This window comes from Homo sapiens, chromosome 12 (assembly GCF_000001405.40).
Source record: "Homo sapiens chromosome 12, GRCh38.p14 Primary Assembly".
NCBI classification, from domain to species: domain Eukaryota; kingdom Metazoa; phylum Chordata; class Mammalia; order Primates; family Hominidae; genus Homo; species Homo sapiens.
In genome coordinates, this window is record NC_000012.12 from 104,231,002 (window position 1) to 104,251,379 (window position 20,378).

At 41.6% G+C, this 20,378-nt stretch overlaps 1 protein-coding gene across 1 annotated transcript in view, besides 4 other annotated features; it reads left to right on the plus strand.

Moving 5' to 3' along the window:
- The window catches only part of TXNRD1 (thioredoxin reductase 1), a 134,529-nt gene that overhangs the window by 15,223 nt on the left and 98,928 nt on the right, over positions 1-20,378 (plus strand). The window lies entirely within an intron of this gene.
- Positions 3,466-3,692: a silencer, noted in NCBI's record as "fragment chr12:104628245-104628471 (GRCh37/hg19 assembly coordinates)". NCBI's record gives its function as "represses an EF-1alpha promoter that drives an FKBP-Casp9 reporter gene in an ReSE screen in K562 erythroleukemia cells {active_cell/tissue: K562}" and the evidence as "EXISTENCE:reporter gene assay evidence [ECO:0000049][PMID:32094911]".
- Positions 10,484-10,653: an enhancer, noted in NCBI's record as "experimental_23786 CRE fragment used in MPRA reporter constructs". NCBI's record gives its function as "activates a minimal promoter by MPRAs in K562 erythroleukemia cells, with activity observed for both the introgressed and non-introgressed 12:104635348 variant alleles {active_cell/tissue: K562}" and the evidence as "EXISTENCE:reporter gene assay evidence [ECO:0000049][PMID:34662402]".
- Positions 10,959-11,128: an enhancer, noted in NCBI's record as "experimental_23788 CRE fragment used in MPRA reporter constructs". NCBI's record gives its function as "activates a minimal promoter by MPRAs in K562 erythroleukemia cells, with activity observed for both the introgressed and non-introgressed 12:104635823 variant alleles {active_cell/tissue: K562}" and the evidence as "EXISTENCE:reporter gene assay evidence [ECO:0000049][PMID:34662402]".
- Positions 12,879-13,048: an enhancer, noted in NCBI's record as "experimental_23792 CRE fragment used in MPRA reporter constructs". NCBI's record gives its function as "activates a minimal promoter by MPRAs in K562 erythroleukemia cells, with activity observed for the non-introgressed 12:104637743 variant allele {active_cell/tissue: K562}" and the evidence as "EXISTENCE:reporter gene assay evidence [ECO:0000049][PMID:34662402]".

The window sequence follows — 20,378 nt, forward strand, 5'->3', positions numbered from 1 at the left end:
GGAATCACCATGTTTGGGTGGACTCAGTTTCTAATGGCTTGCATTTTCATATCAAAGGTTGCCTGCCCGGCTCTAAGAGCCCGGTCTTCCCTGCTAGACAAGAAACATTTCTGGAGCTGCTTTAAAAGAAACGAAAACTTCCCAAGGACCCCTTTTCCTGTCTCTCTGCCTAAAATAATTTATTAATAACTCCTATAACATTCTCCCCTGTGGAGAGGTCACCCTAACTGCTGTTAGGGGGTTTTGGGCAACAACTATTTCTGGCTACTTCCTGCTGAAAAGGGGTGTCGAATGGGGAACAGCAGCTAGGGCCCCTCCTGGGGTCGATAAGGGTCCTCAGAAGAATGGCATGTCCATGCATGGTTCAGTTTGCAGCAGCATTTGGAGTTGGATTGCTTCTAGGCGAGAGGAAACAATTTGATTTATAGTATTGAGAATACAGGGTTCAAATATTAATACAAGACATATAAGCAAGAGAGGGCTTAATAAAGGGGTTAACCAATTCCATAAAGAAGACTGGAATGCATTAAAGAGGGATTGTAGCCACCCGGGGCTGAAGCCTCCATTTTTCCGTCAGCCTGTCAATAGTTTTGATTTGATCTTTAAGTACCTGGTGTAGTAAATAATTTTCATCTAAAATTTTACTTGCCAAGATATAGAATTTCCCTCTGGGGGGTGTCTATGAAGTTCCTTGATTTTATTTTCCCAAACAAAGAAACCTCTGGGTTATGGGCACCCTACTCACTTTCATTACCTGGCAGAATTTGCAGGATAATTGCTCAGAACTACCATATTGATCTGGATTTTTACGTTACCCATCCCTTTTTGTTTCTTCCAAGCTGCAGGTGATCACCACTTGGTCCACAGGAATAAGCAGGGTTAGTTTAAAATGTAGGCAAAAAGCTTAAAAACAATTAATGAGACTAGGATTTAATGACAAATGTATGATAAGCTTTGGAGAACAATTTCTCTCTCCAGTCCTTATTTTTGGTAAAAACAAATTATTATAGGACTGTGTGTGTTGTTCATAGAATAAACTTTAGTCTTATACTTGGCCTGATTATTTGCATAAAGTGCAGCAAGAATGGTTATTTCTGCATAGGACTTTTGGATTGGCTTTGATGAAACACTATTCCACAAGGAATTTCAGATAAGACCTTTAAAGCCAAGCCCAGCCATGGGATTGTATCCTCAAATATCTGTAAGTTGGGTGATCCTCTTCTCCTTGAGGTCCCAAGATAAACTTGGAGCTCCTGGCCTATTAGAAAGTGACATTCTTAGGCTGGCACGGTGGCTCATGCCTATAATCCCAACACTTTGGGAGGCCGAGGTGGGCAGATCATGAGGTGAAGAGATCAAGACTATCCTGGCCAACATGGTGAAACCCCTCATCTCTACTAAAAATACAAAAATTAGCTGGGTGTGGTGGTACACAACTGTAATCCCAGCTACTTGGGAGGCTAAGGCAGGAGAATTCCTTGAACCTGGGAGGTGGAGATTGCAGTGAGCCGATGGAGCCACTGCACTCCAGCGTAGGTGACAGAGCGAGACACCACCTGAAAAAAAAAAGTGACGTTCTTTACTGACCACAGGTTAGGAACCCTGTGCGGGGACTGGGTAGACAAGACATGAGGCCAGTGCTCCCCAAGGGCTTTTATTGGCTCTGCATGTCAAGTTTGATTCCTTAAAGAGAAACACACCCTTTTAGTCAAAGCCTTGATCTTGTTAGACATAAATTTTCGGTGCTGCAAAGGAAATAGCGCTCGAATATGAATTTTCTCAGCAAGGCAACTTTACTTTTCTGCAGAAAAGATGCTTCTAAGAAGCCTGATTGTCATGAGAGCATACCAAACAAAGAAAAGCAGAGGTTTTTATCCCTGACACATTGGGTCCTTACTGCAGTGTCCTATCTCCATTGGCTGGAGCTGGACCGCACAATCTAGACTGATCCTGATTGGCTAAAAACTTAAAACTTTCCTAAATAGGTAAATGCACAATGGAGAACAAAGGAAGGAAGGGGGTTGTTTACAAACTAGGAGAATAATAACATTTCCAAATAAGGAAGAGATGTATGCTGTAAGCTGGGAATGCCTGGGCATTTTCAGACATGTCTGAGCAGGTTATAAGCCAGAACAAATAACTTGGTTAAAGTACAAGGACATAGAATGTACTTATTCCCTTACTATATTTAACAGCTACATAGGGCTTAACAAAGAGTTACTAGCAAAAAGCAAGGAAGCTTGACGGAAGTTAGTTTTTAAAAGAAACTATTATTTCTAACATTTATTATTTATTCTTTAACAAAAAGGGAAACTTTTGAAGAGGAACTTTTTACTTTTCACGGTAAAATAACCAGTTTTTCCAATTGTGTCCTGTTGACAAAGAAAAATGGATTTTTATTGCACTGATGCAAACAATTATATTGCCATAAGTTAAGAGTACTCACAGAGAGTTTCCAAATTCTAGAGGAACCAGACAGAGAAAAATAAAAATGCTCCAAATTTTGTTCACAGGAGTATACCTTACTCATTTTTTTCTGGATGGAGTTTCGCTCTTGTTGCCCAGGCTGGAGTGCAATGGCACAATCTCGGCTCACTGCAACCTCTGCCTCCCAGGATCAAGTGATTCTCCTGCCTCAGCCTCCCGAGTAGCTGGGATTACAGGTGCCAGCCACTACGCCTGGCTAATTTTCGTATTTTTAGTAGAGATGGGGTTTCACCATTTTGGCCAGGCTGGTCTTGAACTCCTGACCTCAGGTGATCTGCCTGCCTCGGCCTCCCAAAGTGCTGGGATTACAGGTGTGAGCCACCGCACCTGGCCCCCTTACTGAATTATTTAGGGCCGTAAATATATCAAAATAAGTTTCCTTAACTCTGAAAATCAAAACAAGGATCAGCAATATTTCAAGCAAAAGTCAAAAGGGTTGCTTTAACTTTCTGAGTGCAGTCCATTTAGTTAACTCTTATTTTGCTTGATATTTGTGAATATGTCAGTTCTGTATGAGTCCCATACATTCTTCTTCTATTTCAATATTACAATCTTCAAAGCTATTAAAAACCTGTGTTTGAGAATACCTGTTAAAGTCCTTAATATAGCTTGATTATAAACTGTCTTCGAGAAGGAACAAAGCAAGACAATTTGTTTGCAAATGACAAAATATGTAGGAGTTACAGTTAAAAACATGGCTGTAGACTACCTATTTGCATTTTGATGATACTTGCATTTTGCCAATAATCTTTGAGACTGTTTTTATTTCTTAAAGTCACATGAACTAAAAAGTATTTGATTTAAGCACATCTTTTTCTTTTTTTGAGACGAAGTCTCACTCTGTCACCCAGGCTGGAGTGCAGTGGCATGATCTCAGCTCACTGCAACCTCTGCCTCCTGGGTTCAAGTGATTCTTCTGCCTCAGCCTCCCAAGTAGCTGAGACTACAAGCACGCACCACCATGCCTGGCAAATTTTTGTATTATTGGTGGAGAAGGGGTTTCACCATATTGGCCAGGCTGGTCTTGAACTCCTGACCTCATGATCCACCCACCTCAGCCTCCCAAAAGTTCTGGGATTACAGGTGTGAGCCACCGTGCCTGGCCAAAAAGCAACTAATTTTTTAAAAAATAAACATTTTAAAGTCAGGGAAAAAAAAAAAAAAAAAAGAAGCCTTCCAAAATTTAACTCAGGTATTTGACCTCTCATGAAGGAATGTTATGCTGCTTCTGAGCCAAACTCTAACTGCAGCTAGAACAGGCAGCTCTGCAAGCAGAAGAAAATTTTGGAGATGAGCAATATATCTCCTATAGTAGGCCAGAAGGGAAAAGAAAAAATAGGGAAGGCAAAGAAATAGGGGGAACACCATTCCCAATAGGAAAAGAGGCAATACCTCTTGATGACCCTCAATTGGAACTCCTTTCTATGGTGTTTTTCCTTCATTTGCAGTTTAAAATGGCTTCTATCTCTTATGTAATGTTCTTCTAACCTGGGAAAAGTTAATTTTCCAAATCTTAAAATGCTTGGCTTAGAGTTGAGCTGGGGGAAGGTGTTGGATATAAGAGCTCGGAGTCGCAAAGAAAATGAGCACTCAAAGAATTTCTCAGCAAGGCAAATTTACTTCTGCAGAAAGGTGCTGCTCATTCTTCTGGTCACTGTGAGAGCACACTGAACAAAGGAGGGAAGGGTTTTTATCCCTAATGCAGTCAGTCCTTGCTACTGTGTCCGATCCCCATTGGTTGGGGTTGGACCGCACAATCTAAGCTGATCCTGATTTGCTACTTGAAATGGAGCAGGGGTGGGGGCTACAAAAGTAAGGGTGCCAAATAAGGAACAGATGTGGGTTGTTACAGATTGGGAACGGATGTGCGTTACAGATTGGGAATGGCTGGAAGGTTGTTTACCGTACCTAGGGGCAAGGAGGCAAGGAAGTTAGGCTTTGAAAATAGAGGACAAGCAGAACCTTTAAAGAAGAACTCACTGTTTCCAGCAAAGGGAACCCAGAAGCCTGATATGACATCAAGAGGGTAAAAAGGTTTACCAGTCGGGCTTTTGGCTTCTCTCTCCTTGTGCAAACCAGTAAAAGGGATAATAAGGATCATTGTTTATATTCTCTGTAAATTTATAGTTAATGAAAAAGGATTTGTGAGGTTAGTCTTAAGCTGTAGACAATCTGGTGTGCTTTGCATGTCTTTCTGTGTGGTTCTGTTGAGGAAAGGGTATCTTAGGTTAGAATGCAGGCCCAGAAACCCATAAGCCTGCTGTTTGAGCCACCCCAACAAAATGGTCAGTAACAAACTTAGCTACAAGCTTCCATGTTGTTTCATGTCCTTGGGAACATAACCTGTAGCCACGTGGCAATACTTTATTTTAGTCCCTGCAATTTTACAATGGTGGCTGTCTTCTTGTGCTAAGTCAGTTCCTGGGTGAGGGCCACAAAATCAAGTAAACCAGTTTGTTAATCTGGGTGGTGCCAGCTGATCCATCAAGGGCAGGGTTTACAAAATATCTTAAGTGCTAACCTTAAGAGCGGTTTAGGGAGGGTGAAAATCTTGTAGCCTCCAGCTGCAGGCTCCTGGGCCATGGTTTCTAATCTTGTGGCTAGTTTCTTGGTCTGTTCCCAGGCAAGAGGGAAGTATATCTTGGGAAATACTGTTATCATCTTTGTTTTAGACTATAGACTGTAAATCCGACTCCTCCCAAAGTTGGTTCGGCCTAAACCAGGGATGGGCAAGGACAGCTTGGGGGCTGAAAACAAAATGGAATTGTTTGGGTCAGATCTCTTTCACTGTCTCAGTCACAATTTTGCAATGACAGTTTCAAAAGCTTCCTATCACTCCTTTGAAAATACCTTGTACACTTGCATTAAGTCATAACCTAATTAAGGCTCATTGGTTTCACCTGTGAGGTTACTGTTTGTAAAGTTCAAAAGCCAAAAATCTTAACTGCTTGGCATGGCTAAAGTCGAGTAACAAGGGATTTTAAAGGATTTTCTTAAAGAGCACTGAGCTTAATTAAAAGTTCAGGCATGGTGGCTCACACCTGTAATCCCAGCACTTTGGGAGGCTGAGATGGGAGGATCACCTGAGGTCGGGAGTTTGAGACCAACCTGACCAACATGGAGAAACCCTGTCTCTACTAAAAATACAAAATTAGCCGGGTGTGGTGGTGCATGCCTGTAATCCCAGCTACTTGGGAGGCTGAGGCTGGAGAATCGCTTGAACCCAGGAGGCAGAGCTGTGGTAAGCTGAGATTGCACCACTGCATGCCAGCCTGGGCAACAAGAGTGAAAACTGTCTCAAAAAAAAAAAAAAAAAAAAAGTGGATATTCAAGTTACAGGGTTATAGGTATATTTAAGGCCTTTATGTTTTTCTCTTCTTGGATCTTGTTTTTCTGGAAAAAGGCTCTTTTCTTCTCAGTTGACTGAATTATTTTTCTCCATTTTTTGTCTTACCACTCTTAATGCATGCATGAGAGGCCCTAAGATAACTTCTGGTAACATGGGACTGCTGGAGAAAAACAGAGGAGGCATCACAGACTCCGTTCTGGGGGGGTTGGGAGGGAACAAGAAACAAATCAAAAAAACCTCTGTTTTCCTCATGAAACTCTCCAAATTAAAAGCAGATAGTTCCCTCAAAATCAAAGGCTCTGTACTGTTATGTATTGTGTTATCTACCGCTTTTGAGTTTTGGGGTATCAAATTACTTCACATTGTGGGAGAGCTTTGGTGTGTAATAACTTACAGTGTAGAAAATACACTGTAAGGGGTGGCTAATAGTAGTTATAAATCAGAGAAGCATGCTCTGCGCCATCTGAAAGATATGGAGACATCCCCATACCCCAATAAGAGATGAGACTCCCTTGAGGGATGGGCTAATTACAAATTAAGCCAATTAGCTTGGAGTTGCCTTGCAATGAAATGCATGGTAGAAGCACTACACTGTCTTCTCCCATAGTATCTTCCTCCTTTTGGGGACCCAAAATCCAGTATAAAATGGCACCGTTAATTTTAGGGATCTCTCTTTGCCTTCAGTTGTGCCTGCTTATTAGGCCCTAAAAAACGCATACTACCCGGCCCTGTTCCTCCAAGGGTTTCACCCTAAAGCCAGTAATACAATTAAGAAACTGGCAAATGAAAAATCTTAACAAGTGCTGAATATTCTGTCTGTGTTGTTATAGATGTGTTGTGTGTAATGTCTATAAAAACAGCTCTAATTGATTGGCTTAAAGAAAAATAAGCACTAGGCCAGACGTGGTGGCTCATGCCTGTAATCCCAGCACTTTGGGAGGCTGAGGCAGGCGGATCATGAGATCAGAAGTTCGAGACCAGCCTGGCCAATATGGTAAAACCGTCTCTACTAATAATACAAAAATTAGCTGGGTGTGGTGGCGCATACCTGTAGTCCCGGCTACTCGGGAGGCTGAGGCAGAAGAATCGCTTGAACCCACGAGGCTGAGGTTGCAGTGAGCTGAGATCACGCCACTGCGCTCCAGCCTGGGTGACAGAGCAAGACTTCATCTCAAAAAAAAAAGAAAAAAAGAAAAAAGAAAAATAAACGCTTAAATAAAAAATTTTCTAGTTCACATGACTTTAAGAAATAAAAATAGTCTCAAGGATTATTGGTAAAATGCAAGCGTCATCAAAATGCAAATAGGTGGTCTACAGTCATGTTTTTAACTAACCTGCAAATTTTGTCATTCGCAGACAATTGTTGTCTTGCTTTGTTCTTTCTCAAAAGACGGTTTATAATCAAGCTATATTAAGGACGTTAACAGGTGTTCTCAAATGCAGGTTTTTAATAGCTTTTAATATTGTAACATTGACATAGAGAAAGAATGTATGGGACTCATAAAGAACTGACATGTTCACAAATATCAAGCAAAACACAAGTTAACTAAATGGATTGCACTCAGAAAGTTAAAGCACCCTTTTTGACTTTTGCTTGAAATGTTGCTGATCCTTGTTTTGTTTTTCAGAGTCAAGGAAACTTATTTTGAACTATTTACAGCCTTAAAAAAAAAGATGTTGTGGGTTTTTCATAGATGACCTTTATCAGGTAGAAAAGTTTCCTTTTATTCCTAGTTTGTTGAGTGTTTTTTATCATGAAAGGGTGTTAGACTCTGTCAAATGTTTGTATCTGTTGAAATAACTGTGTGGTTTTCATTCTTTATTCTATTAATATGATGTATTGCATTGATTGATTCTCATATGTTTAATCAACCTGTGCAAGGTTTATCCTGGGATAAATTTCACTCAGTTGTGGTGTATAAAATTTTTATATATTGCTGGATTTGGTTTGTTAATGTTTTGTGGATAATTTTTTTTGTCTATATTTACAAAGGGCATTGGTCTGTGGTTTTCTTTTCTTTTTTTTTGCGACAGAGTCTTGCACTGTTGCCCAGGCTAGAGTGCAATGGTGTGATCTCAGCTCACTGCAACCTTTGCCTCCCGGGTTCAAGTGATTCTCCTGTCTCAGCCTCCCAAGTAGCTGGGATTACAGATGCCCGCCACCACACCCTTTTCATGTGATGCCCTTGTCTGGTTTTGGAATCAGGGTAATACCAATCTCATAGAATGAATTGGAAAGTATCCCCTCCTCTTCTGTTTTTGGAAAGAGTGTGAAAAATTGCTGATAATTCTGTGTTAGACGTTTGGGAGAATTTATCAGCAACAATCATCTGAGCCTGGGCTTTTCTTTGTGGGAATTTTTTTTTTTTTTTTGAGACGGAGTTTCGCTCTTGCTCCACAGGCTGGAGTACAATGGCGCGATCTCGGCTCACTGCAACCTCTGCCTCCTGGGTTCAAGCGATTCTTCTGTCTCAGCCTCCTGGGTAGCTGGGATTACAGGCGTGTGCCACTACAACCGGCTAATTTTTTGTCTTTTTAGTAGAGACAGGGTTTCACCATATTGGTCAGGCTGGTCTCAAACTCCTGACCTCAGATGATCCTCCTGCCTCGGCCTCACGAAGTACTGGGATTACACGTGTGAGCCACTGCACCTGGCCAAGAGTTTTTATTGCTAATTCAATCTCTTGTCTATTCAAGATTATAAGTCTATTTAGCTTCTCATTCCTTTTTTTTCCCTAGACTCAAGTGATTCTCATGCCTCAGCCTCCCAAGTAACTGGGATTACAGGTATGTGCCACCATGCCTGGCTAAATTTTGTATTTTTAGTAGAGTCAGGGGTTTCACCTTGTTGGCCATGCTGGTCTCCAACTCCTAGCCTCAGGTGATCCACCCACCTTGGCCTCCCAAAGTGCTAGGATTACAGGCATGAGCCACCACACCCAGCCTCATTTCTTCTTGACTCAGTTTGGGTAATCATGTCTTTCTAGGAATTTGTTCATTTCATGTAGATTATCTAATTCGTTGGCATATAATTGAATTTTTTATACTGTTAATATGAGCAGTCTAAACCAGCCTTGCATTCCCAGGACAAACCCCACTAGCTCGTGGAATATTATTATTCCTTTTATATATTGCTGGATTCAATTTGCCATTATTTTGTTGAAGAATTTTGCATCTTTGTTTATGAGGGATATTGATTTACAGTTTCCTTTTCTTGTACTGTCTCTGTCTAGTTTGAGTATCAGGATGCTACTGACCTCATAAAATAAGTTTGAAAATGGCCCCTCCCCTTGTATTTTCTGGACAAGATTGTATAGATTGGTAGGGTATCTTTTATTAAGTTTTATTTTCCTCCAGATATCCTGTTTGTAGGTGTGTGTGAGAAACAGAAAATGTTACTGAATCAGAGAGAGTCTAAGTACCATTGTTTTCTGCAGTTTTCTCTTAAACCTTGGGGTTAAAAGAAATCTGTTGAAATACAGTGTAACCACATGTCTTATTTCTCAGCTTTTTGTGAGAGATCTCAACTGGGAAGATTGAGGTAGTTTCTTTTAAGCCCTGTTGTTGGTCACATTGACTGAACATTTTAGTGAACTAGGATTACTCCACTTACTGGATATTCTTAATACTAAGGTAACAATATGAAAAAAGAACATATTTTCTGTATATATGTATAAAGCATATTTAGTGAAATTGTGAGAGTTATTGGTCTAGTATAGGCAAGAGAACTTTTTAGCTTAATTGAGTTCTCAACTGGTATATAGTATGTGTTTATATGAAGGATCAGTTTAGTAATTGTCCACAGATTCCTTTTATATTTTAATGACTGTAATTCAGGTTTTACAATCAGAAAAAGCACCTACATTGTCTTCTGTGTATATGTTTTTTGTCCAGAAAAGGTATCTTTGTGGAATTTTTTTTTTTTTTTGGAGTGTTGCTCTGTCACCCAGGCTGGAGTGCAATGGCACTATCTCGACTCACTGCAACTTCTGCCTCCTGGGTTCAAGCGATTCTCTTGCCTCAGCCTCCTGAGTAGCTGGGACTACAGGCGCCCGCCACCATGCCTGGCTAATTTTTGCATTTTTAGTAGAGATGGGGTTTCACCGTGTTAGCCAGGATGGTCTCGATCTCCTGACTTCGTGATCCGCCCGCCTCGGCCTCTCAAAGTGTTGGGATTACAGGCATGAGTCACTGCGCCCAGTTTTTTTTTTTCTTTTTTTGAGACAGAGTCTCACTCTGTCGCCCAGGCTGGAGTGCAGTGGCATGGTCTCGGCTCACTGCAACCTCTGCCTCACAGGTTCAAGTGATTCTCCTGCCTCAGCCTCCCAAGTAGCTGGGACTACGGGCTCACGCCAACATGCCTGGCTAATTTTTGTATTTTTCAGTAGAGATGGGGTTTCACCATGTTGGCCAGGCTGGTGTCAAACTCCTGACCTGGTGATCCGCCCGCCTCAGCATCCCAAAGTGCTGAGATTACAGACGTGAGCCACTGTGCCCGGCTGCCAATGGTATTTCTCTCACAGATGAGAAAAGTCTGATTTCTTTTTTTTTGAGATGGAGTTTTGCTGTTGTTGCCCAGGCTGGAGAGCAATGGCAAATCTCGGCTCACCGCAAACTTCGCCTCCCACGTTGAAGCGATTCTCCTGACTCAGCCTCCCAAGTAGCTGGGATTATAGGCATGTGCCACCACGACCGGCTAATTTTGTATTTTTAGTAGAGACGGACTCTCCACTTTGGTCAGGCTGGTCTCGAACTCCTGACCTCAGGTGATTTGCCCGCCTCAGCCTCCCAAAGTGCTGGGTTTACAGGCGTGAACCACCACACCCAGCCAGTCTGATTTCTTTTTAAATTTTACTTTTATTTATTTATTTATTTATTTATTTTGTAGAGATGGGTTCTCACTGTGTTGCCCAGGCTAGTCTTGAACTCCTAGGCTCAAGTGATGCTCCTTCCTCAGCCTCCCTGTTGGGATTACAGGCGTGAGCCACCATGCTCAGTGAAAAGTCTGATTTCTTAAGTCAGTTTTAAAAGGTGATATGCTAAGAAAAACTTTAACATTTTATTTTTTCATTTAACATCTTTTATTTTTTATACTAATGATTTTTTTTTTTTTTTTTTTTTGAGATGGAGTCTCACTGTCGCCCAGACTAGAGTGCAGGGCACGATCTCAGCTCACTGCAACCTCCACCTCCCTGGTTCAAGCAATTTCCCTGCCTCAGCCTCCTGAGTAGCTGGGATTACAGGCGCACGCCACCACACCTGGCTATTTTTTTGTATTTTTAGTAGAGATGGGGTTTCACCAAGTTGGCCAGAGTGGTCTTGAACACCTGACCTCAGGTGATCCACCCACCTTGGCCTCCCAAAGTCCTGGGATTACAGGCATGAGCCACTGTGTCCGGCCTACTAATGATTTTTTAAAAGCTCTGTAGTGTCTGGGTGCGGCGGCTCACGCCTGTAATCCCAGCACTTTGGGAGGCCAAGGCGGGTGGATCATGAGGTCAGGAGTTCGAGACCAGCCTGGCCAAGATGGTGAAACCCCGTCTGTACTAAAAACACAACAATTAGCCAGGCATGGTGGCGCACGCCTGTAGTCCCAGCTACTTGGGAGGCTGAGGCAGGAGAATCGCTTGAACCTGGGAGGTGGAGGTTGCAGTGAGCTGAGGTTGTGCCATTGCAATCCAGCATGGGCGACAAGAGTGAAACTCCGTCTAAAAAAAAAAAAGCTCTGTAGTATTGCTTTTAAAATGATTTTCTTATCTTATTAACAGCATCAATATTAAATTTACAGCTAGGTGAAAGAAAGGATATGTTTTTCTTCTTCCATTTGGTCCTTCAGTACCTCTTCCACGTTCCCTGTGGTAGAGCCCAACCCTGACAGGAGACTCTTGGTGCTGAGTGATCCAGTAAACCAAGACTAACCCCCACCCTCTCCTACCTCAAACACACAGTGTCTAGTTACAGTGGTAGCCTACATGGATTTCTGGCGTAATTTCTCTTATCATGAACCATTCCATAAACCAGTCCTCTGCAGAAAAGAGAGTTCCTTTCAAATGTGTATTCTCAGGCTCACGCAGCCACTGAATCCTGGACCTGGCATATAATCATATTAGAATACAACTGTGGAGTGAGGCAAGTGGGAATTCTTGGCTAGGACCCCAACATAACTAAGGTTTAATCTTAACCTTAAATAAGACTCCTTTGAAGGAGGTACAAGCACAAGAGCTATAAACAGGATATTGTAGTCCTTTTTATAGCACTTAAGTTCTTCTTATGACATTTATTTGTAAAAACTAAAAATCCTTTTAAGGCTAAAAAACCTACCTAGGGTTTTATTTCAATTTGGTAAATAAATAATACTAATAACTACAATGTACTTATTATTAATTTCAACACTAGAAATTCATTATCATGTCCTTTTAGGGAGTCTTTAGTCTTCCTTCCGTGTGTTTCCATAAAGACTTCTGTTTTATTTTTCCAGCTTGTCTCATATCCTACAGACTTTCAGAAACACATATAACTACTTTCTTGTCTTCACTTGATTTATAGACACTGTAATGGGTATAGCTTACCCATTTAAGCTTCCCCACTCTTGGGTCTCTTATGGAGTAACTTCTTTACTTGATGGGGTCTTGTCAGACCCAAGAGTAATATTTGTGTGTCTTGTGGGTTGAATATAATATTGTAATAATTCTTACTTTGTTAAAAGGAATCTTCTGAGAGTGGTGGTGTGTTTGCCATACTCCTTGAGCTTGAACTGAATGAGTTTTGTTAAGAGGTCTGGGGTTCTGTGGAAATCCTTGATTTCTTCTGACTTGCAGTCCAGATGCTTTTAACCACAGGCAACGAGTAAAAATATGTGCATGACAAACCTGTAAACCAGAAAGTGAAGACAGCAGGCAGAGTGGCGTGCTATAAAATTTTTATCATCACACTTGAAGTGATCGTGTTGCTCATTAATGGCGAAAACTCAAGTTCTAACACATGGCAGTTTTAGTCTGTGTTTAGCCTTGCCATGTGCTTTCATCTGCCAGGCTCCTCTTTGCTTTCCCCTTTGTTTCCCTGCTTTGAAGTTCATTCATTGTCCTGGTTTACTGTGAAATGCCACTTGGGGATAACTCAAAATAGGACAGTGGCTTTATTACCTGTGCTTTTCATATTTCATGCTACCTTTCTGTTTTCCAGTTTCCCCCAGTTAAGTTGCATTCCTTATGTACCGTGATGTTCCTCTGTTGTCAAACTAGAGCTTCTTCCCACAGCTAAGTGGCTGATCAAGGTTTCTCCAAAGAGATAAGTATCAGTTATATAGCTCTCTAAGCAATGTGTAGACTGAGAGCCACTCAAAACCTGGCTCTCTGCAGGCTTTCAGGTGGCAGTAGTCATGGGTGAGAGTCAGTGGTTTTGGCAGGTACAAACACATATGAATTGTATGAAGATGTTTCTTGAGGAGGAGTGTCCTGGAGTGGAAGTGTTTTCCTTTAGTAATCCCTTTACTAATCCCACAGTTCAAATATCTTGCTTTATATCCCTAAGAGTACAAAGATTTCAATGAATTTCTCTGTTTAGTGAAGTCAGAGACAGGAACAAATGCAATAGGCTGGTATGCAACTTTAATTTTTTTTTTAAGTTTGGGAAATACAGGAAAGAAAAGTCATGGATAATTCTGTCACGCCAATATAACTAATATGACCATTTTGCACATTCTTTTTCAGGATTCCTATATGTCGAGTTTCACAGAATTGTAAAACTATGGTACATAGGACTTGGTATTCTAGGTTTTTAAAAAACTAACAATTGTGTCAAACTATTTCTACATTATTTTGAATCTTGAATAGTATGCAGCCACTAAATAAGGTTAGAACAAGAGAGCTACTGTAATTTAGCCATTCCTCTAATGTCAGACATTTGTTGTTTCTAATTTTTTGCAATAGCTAATGATGTTACAATGAAATCATTGGTAATAATTGGATAAAAAGAAGGGATTGAAGACAGGGAAAAGAAAGGGGTGTAGGCTGTAGAGCAGGGAGAGAACCTCTTTGCAGCTTAGGCTTGGGAGAGAGAAAAGCTGTGGCAAGGTATAACTTTGTCCCTGTATCTAGAAAGGTTATGGACATGTTCAGGAGGTCCGGAATGGTGAGTATTGATAGGCCTGTGGCCTGTTTTGTTCCACTGGGTTTTACAGGAAGTTAACATGATTGATCCTAAAGCTATAGCACTTTTATTGAAAGGGAATTTGGGACTATCCCCATTTAACTAGGTGATAATAGCTATGTTAATAAAAACTACTGAAAGCTTTTCCTAAGAGAAGGCTAGGAGGTAGGGGTCTTTCAATGTTTTCATTATTTTAGATTTTTTTTTTTAAAGCTAGTCGTCACAAATAAGAATACTGAGTTAAGGCTCGGCGCGGTGGCTCACGCCTGTAATCCCAGCACTTTGGGAGGCTGCGGCAGGCGGGTCACCTGAGGTTGGGAGTTCCAGACCAGCCTGACCAACATAGTGAAACCCCGTCTCTACTAAAAATACAAAATTAGCTGGGCATGGTGGCACAGGCACATGTCGGTAATCCCAGCTACTCAGGAGGCTGAGGCAGGAGAATCACTTGAACCTGGGAGGCAGAGGTTGCGGTGAGCCGAGATCACACCATTGCACTCCAGCCTGGGCAACAAGAGCGAAACTCCATCTCAAAAAAAAAAAAAAAAAAAAAAAAAGAATACTGAGTTAAAAGGTATGGCCATCTCAGGAGGTTGCAGTGAGCCGAGATCCGAGATGGAGCCACTGCACTGCAGCCTGGGTGTTGGAGCAAGACCCTGTCTCAAAAAAAAAAAAAAAAAAAAAAGTATGGCCATTTGAGTAGTTTTTGACCCACACTGTCAAATTGTTTTTCAAAAGAATAGTATTAGCTTGTGTTACACAGCCCTGTGGACTCACTTCAGTGTACATTTATCAGCACTGGGAGTTTTCATTTTTTTTGTATGTAAGAAATGACATTTCGGGGCCGGGCGCGGTGGCTCACGCCTGTAATCCCAGCACTTTGGGAGGCCGAGGCGGGCGTATCACGAGGTCAGGAGTTCGAGACCAGCCTGGCTAACATGGTGAAACCCCGTCTCTACTAAACAAAATACAAAAAAATTAGCCAGGCGTGGTGGCGGGCTCCTGTAGTCCCAGCTACTCGGGAGGTCAAGGCAGGAGAATGGCGTGAACTCGGGAGGCGGAGCTTGCAGTGAGCTGAGATCGCGCCGCTGCACTCCAGCCTGGAGCCTGGGCGATACAGCGAGACTCTGTCTCAAAAAAAAAAAAAAAAAACTTTTCCCAGCTGGGCACAGTGGCTCACACCTGTAATCCCAGCGCTTTGGGAGGCCGAGGCGGGTGGATCATGAGGTCAGGAGATCGAGACCATCTTGGCTAACACGGTGAAACCCCGTCTCTACTAAAAATACAAAAAAATTAGCCAGGCATGGTGGCGGGCGCCTGTAGTCCCAGCTACTCGGGAGGCTGAGGCAGGAGAATGGCATGAACCTGGGAGGCGGAACTTGCAGTGAGCCAAGATCGCGCCACTGCACTCCAGCCTGGGCGACAGTGCGAGACTCCATCTCAAAAAAACAAAAAAACAAAAAAACAAAAAACTTTTCCCCAAATTATCAAGTCATCATTGCCATACTATTTTGAAAGTACATTTTATTGCTTTGTGATGGTTTTTTTTTTTTTTTGAGATGCAGTCTCGCTCTGTCACCAGGCTGGAGTGCAGTGGTGCGATCTCGGTTCACTGCAACCTCTGCCTCCCAGGTTCAAGCCATTCTCCTGCCTCAGCCTCCTGAGTAGCTGGGATTACAGGCGTGCACCACCATACCCAGCTAATTTTTGTATTTTTAGTAGAGACTGGGTTTCACCATGTTGACCAGGATGGTCTCGATCTCCTGACTTTGTGATCCGCCCGCCTCGGTCTCCCAAAGTGCTGGGATTACAGGTGTGAGCCACTGTACCCGGCCACATGATGGCTTTTTAAAAATCATAAATGATTCTGTATTTGTCTCTTTCTGGTCTATCTAATCTCTTTTACTGATCTCTGTTTACTTTTATAAATACAAGTAGGGAGACTATTTTATTATTACTCTTTAGTTTCAGTTGTTACAAGTGGATAGTAAGTACTTCATGGATCCAAATATTAGGAATTGATCTTAGGCAAAAAAGTTGGGGCAAAATGAAAGCAACTTATCATTACAGTTTTTTGTTTGTTTGTTTGTTTGTTTGTTTTTGAGACAGAGTCTCACGGTCGCCCAGGCTGCAGTGCAATGGCGCAACCTCAGCTCACTGCAAACTATGCCTCCCGGGTTCAAGTGATTCTCCCTCCTCAGCCTCCCAAGTAGCTGGGAATACAGGCACCCGCCATTATGCCTGGCTAATTTTTGTATTTTTCATTGTGACAGGGTTTCACCATGTTGGCCAGGGTGGTCTCAAACTCGTGACCTCAGGCAATCTGCCTGCCTTAGCCTCCCAAAGTGCTGGGATTACAGGTGTGAGCCACCACGCCTGGCCCATTACAGTTTTATCTGCATTTTTCTGACTGCCTGGTTCTGTGCTGTTCCTGCAACATTTACTTAACATATTTCTTTGAATGCTGCTTCAAATTTTATTTCAAAATTGAGGGGGAAAAATAAGCAAATGATAAACATAAACAAAATTTTATTTTCCTTTTTTGTTAGAGGCAGAATTTAAGGAAAAATTCTGATGATTTTGATTACAGTTAGTGGCTAACCTCTTATGATTTATTTACCTATCTATTTATCTTTCCATCTATTTGTACATTTTTTTGTTTGTTTGTTTTTTTGGTAAACAGTCTCTCCCCAGTAAGAATGCAGTTCTTCTTAATCACAGAAGTTATTCCTTTCCTTGTAATGGCCTTCTCTGTTCTGTGTCTTGGCAAATATCTGAGCCTAATAGTTGGGTGGTGCCCTTGGCATAGATGTTATGTAAGGAATTGTCACCTGCTTTTAGAGTCAGTCATCCCATGAAATCGAAGGAGTCAGTAAGGCGTTATGGAATCAGGAGGCTTGTGTGACAGCTCTGACGCTGATACCAATTAATGACCTGACTGGACCTCAGTTTCCTCATCAGTGGAATGAACACAGTTGGCCTAGTGACCCCAGATGTCTCTCCCAAGCTAACATTCTGTGATTCTCATTCTCTGAAATGTTACCACGAGGAATGTTTACTTATACGTTACTTTTTAAAATAAGAAAAATGGAGAACAGAAAATGAGAACTAGAGTTTAATTTTAAAATTTTGAAGTGTCATGGATGAGGCTATCGTCATGTGTCATGTTGCTTTAGTCCAATAGTTCTTAATTAACAGTATGCATTAGAACTACCAGTGAACATTTAAAGTATATGCATATATGTGTGTGAACATATATGAATATATACACACATAAATATGTTTGTTTATTTATTTATTTACTTATTTATTTATTGGAGACAGAGTCTCACTCTGTTGCCCAGGCTGGAGTGCAGTGGTGCGATCTTGGCTCACTGCAACCTCCACCTCCTGGGTTCAAGCAGTTCTCCTGCCTCAACCTCCCAAGTAGCTGGGATTACAGGCGCGTGCCACAACACCCAGCTAATTTTCGTATTTTAAGTAGAGATGGGGTTTCACCATGTTGGTCGGGCTGGTCTCAAACTCCTAACCTCAGGTGATCCAACTGCATCGCCTCCCAAAGTGCAGGAATTACGGGCGGGTGTGAGCCACGCGCCTGGCCACACACACAAATATGCATGCTTAGGCCCATGCCTTGCAAGTCTGATTCAGTAGGTTAGGGACAAGGATGAGACCTAGGAAGTCTTGGTTATTCAGATGCAAATAAGGGTTGAAAGGCCTCCCTTCCACTTACGGCAGATACTGCAGGTATAGATTGGTCTGGTATACTCTGCAACAAATAAGTCCCATTGCTCTTCTGGGATCCTATAATTAATTGGCACAGATGTTAGTTTTTCTTTTCTTTTTTTTTCTTTTTTTGAGATAGTCTCTCGCACTCTCACCTGGGCTGGAGTGCACGATCTCGGCTCACTGCAACCTCCCCCGCCCAGGTTCAAGTGATTCTCCTGCCTAGCCTCCCAGTGCTGGGATTACAGGCATGAGCCACCGCCCCGGGCCCAGAGAAATTACAAGCGAGAAATTACAACAAGCTAGTTTTTCTTTAAGAAGAACCCACTTCTCATTTTCTTATCTGTTCAGGCTGGTAAAACAAAATAACATAAACTAGGAGGCTTATCAACAACAGAAAACAATTTCTTACAGTTCTGTGGCCTAGGAAGTCCAAGATCAAGGTGCCAGTAGATTCCACGTCTGGTGAGGGCCCACTTCCTGATTCTCAGTAGGTACCTTCTTGCTGTGTCCTCACATGGTGGAAGGGGAGATGGGCTCTCTGGAGTTTCTTTCATAACTGCGCTAATCCCATTCTTGAGGGCTCCTAATCACCTCCCAAAGGCCCCTCCTTCTAATGCTGTCACTTTGAGAATTAAGATTTTGACAGAGAAATTTTAGAGGTATAGAAGCATTCAGATCATAGCGCTTATATCTCAAAGATAAGGAGATTTCTATGTTCCTCTTCACTTTTCTATCCATATGTTAAGTATTAGTAACATTTGATTGTCTGGTATATAATGAAACAGTCTCTTGGTTGTTGACCCTGTCTTGACATTGTATGATAGGGGTTATTTAAAAATTTCTTAAATTAACTATCTTTCTAAAAACTATTTTTATAAAATAATACATGTTCATGGTTTAAAAACACATAGTACCAAAAGTACGATGAAAGTGAAAGCTTGCCAGGCGCGGTGGTTCACGCCTGTAATCTTAGCACTTTGGGAGGCCAAGGTGGGCAGATCACGAGGTCAGGAGATCAAGACCATCCTGGCTAACATGGTGAAACCCCGTCTCTACTAAAAATACAAAAAATTAGCCGGGCGTGGTGGCAGGCGCCTGTAGTCCCAGCTACTCGCGAGGCTGAGGCAAGAGAATGGCGTGAACCCGGGAGGCGGAGCTTGCAGTGAGGCCGAGATCGTGCCACTGTACTCCAGCCTTGGCAACAGAGCGAGACGCCGTCTCAAAAAAAAAAAAAAAAAAAAGTGAAAGCTTACTAGACATAATGATTAATAATAATAATGATTAATAATAAACATTTTGGGGATTTAGCTGATTTTATTAACACCATTTAAATATCAGTCTAGGTGTAGTGACAGTATAACATACTGGTTAAAAGCATGGGCGCTACCTTTACATTTATGGTCAATTGATTTTTGACAAGGTTGGCAAGATACATCAATAGGGAAAGATTAGTCTTTTCAACAAATGGTGCTGAGACAGCAGGTTATCCACATGCAAAAGAAGAAAGTGGATGCCTGCCTCATAGAACACATGCAAATTAACTTAAAATGGATCATAGTCCTAAAGTAAGAACTAAAACTATAAGACTCTTACAAAAAAAATAAAATCCTTGTGACTTTGGAATAGGCAATAGTTTCTTAGATATGACACCAAAAGTATAAGCAAAAAAGAAAAAGATAAATTTGACTTGATCAAAATTTAAAACTATATTTCAAAAAGACTTCTATATTTTAAAGCTGTTTTTTTTAAAGTGTAGGTTCTAGAGAATGATAACCTAAGTTTGAATTTTAGCTCCATTACTTATTGTAAGCTGTGCAACCCTGAGGAAGTTGCATAACCTCTCTGAGTCTGTGTCCTTGTTTGTAAAATGGGGATGATGGTAGCAGTGCCCACCTAACGATATTGCTGGAAGGATTAAATGAAAGGAGGCATATAAACATTAACCCTCTGTCTAGTTCTGGATAAATACAAATATCAACTATGAAGATGATAAGGAGATTGAAGAAGGATGAATGGCTTACTTGGATCAGCAGAAATGAGAAGAAATCACCTAAGGAACAAGTAGTAAGGGTGGGCTTGAACTTGGTTTATTCATGGGCCCTGAAGAAGATGGATAGTTTAAACATTTTTACAAGTTGGAGGTAGCAATCTCTTGGTGGTTTTGACTGGTGATGATGCCCAGGATGACAGTGCTGTCATGTGGGAATAACATACCACTAAGCTGGATCATGTTTGTTTTGATGCCTGATTGGGCCAGCACAAAATCCTGAGGAGAAAATAATTCGCAGTAAGTATTTTTATTGCAGTCTTGCTGCATCTTGCCTGAAGATCCTGTGTCTGCTTATCCAGGAGTTAACCTGGGAGAAAACATGTAAGCCTTGGTTTGAGTGGTCTGCCCCTATGTCTGTAAGCAGGGTTGTGTTGGAAGGGGACATCTGTCTGACATTTGGCCTCTCTGCATTTAAACCATGGTTGGGAATAGAGATGGCATAAAATGTGGCCTCAGTATTTCCAACCTGTTACTTATTTTCCTGTGTCCAGGGAAGGTTCTGATTATGGCTTGTTGGCAGGATCCCCTGAGAACATATCTTGACTGTGATCTGAGTTAGGAATATTGAATAATATGTCAGAGGTTCCAGTCAGATGAAAGAAGTAAATCTATAAT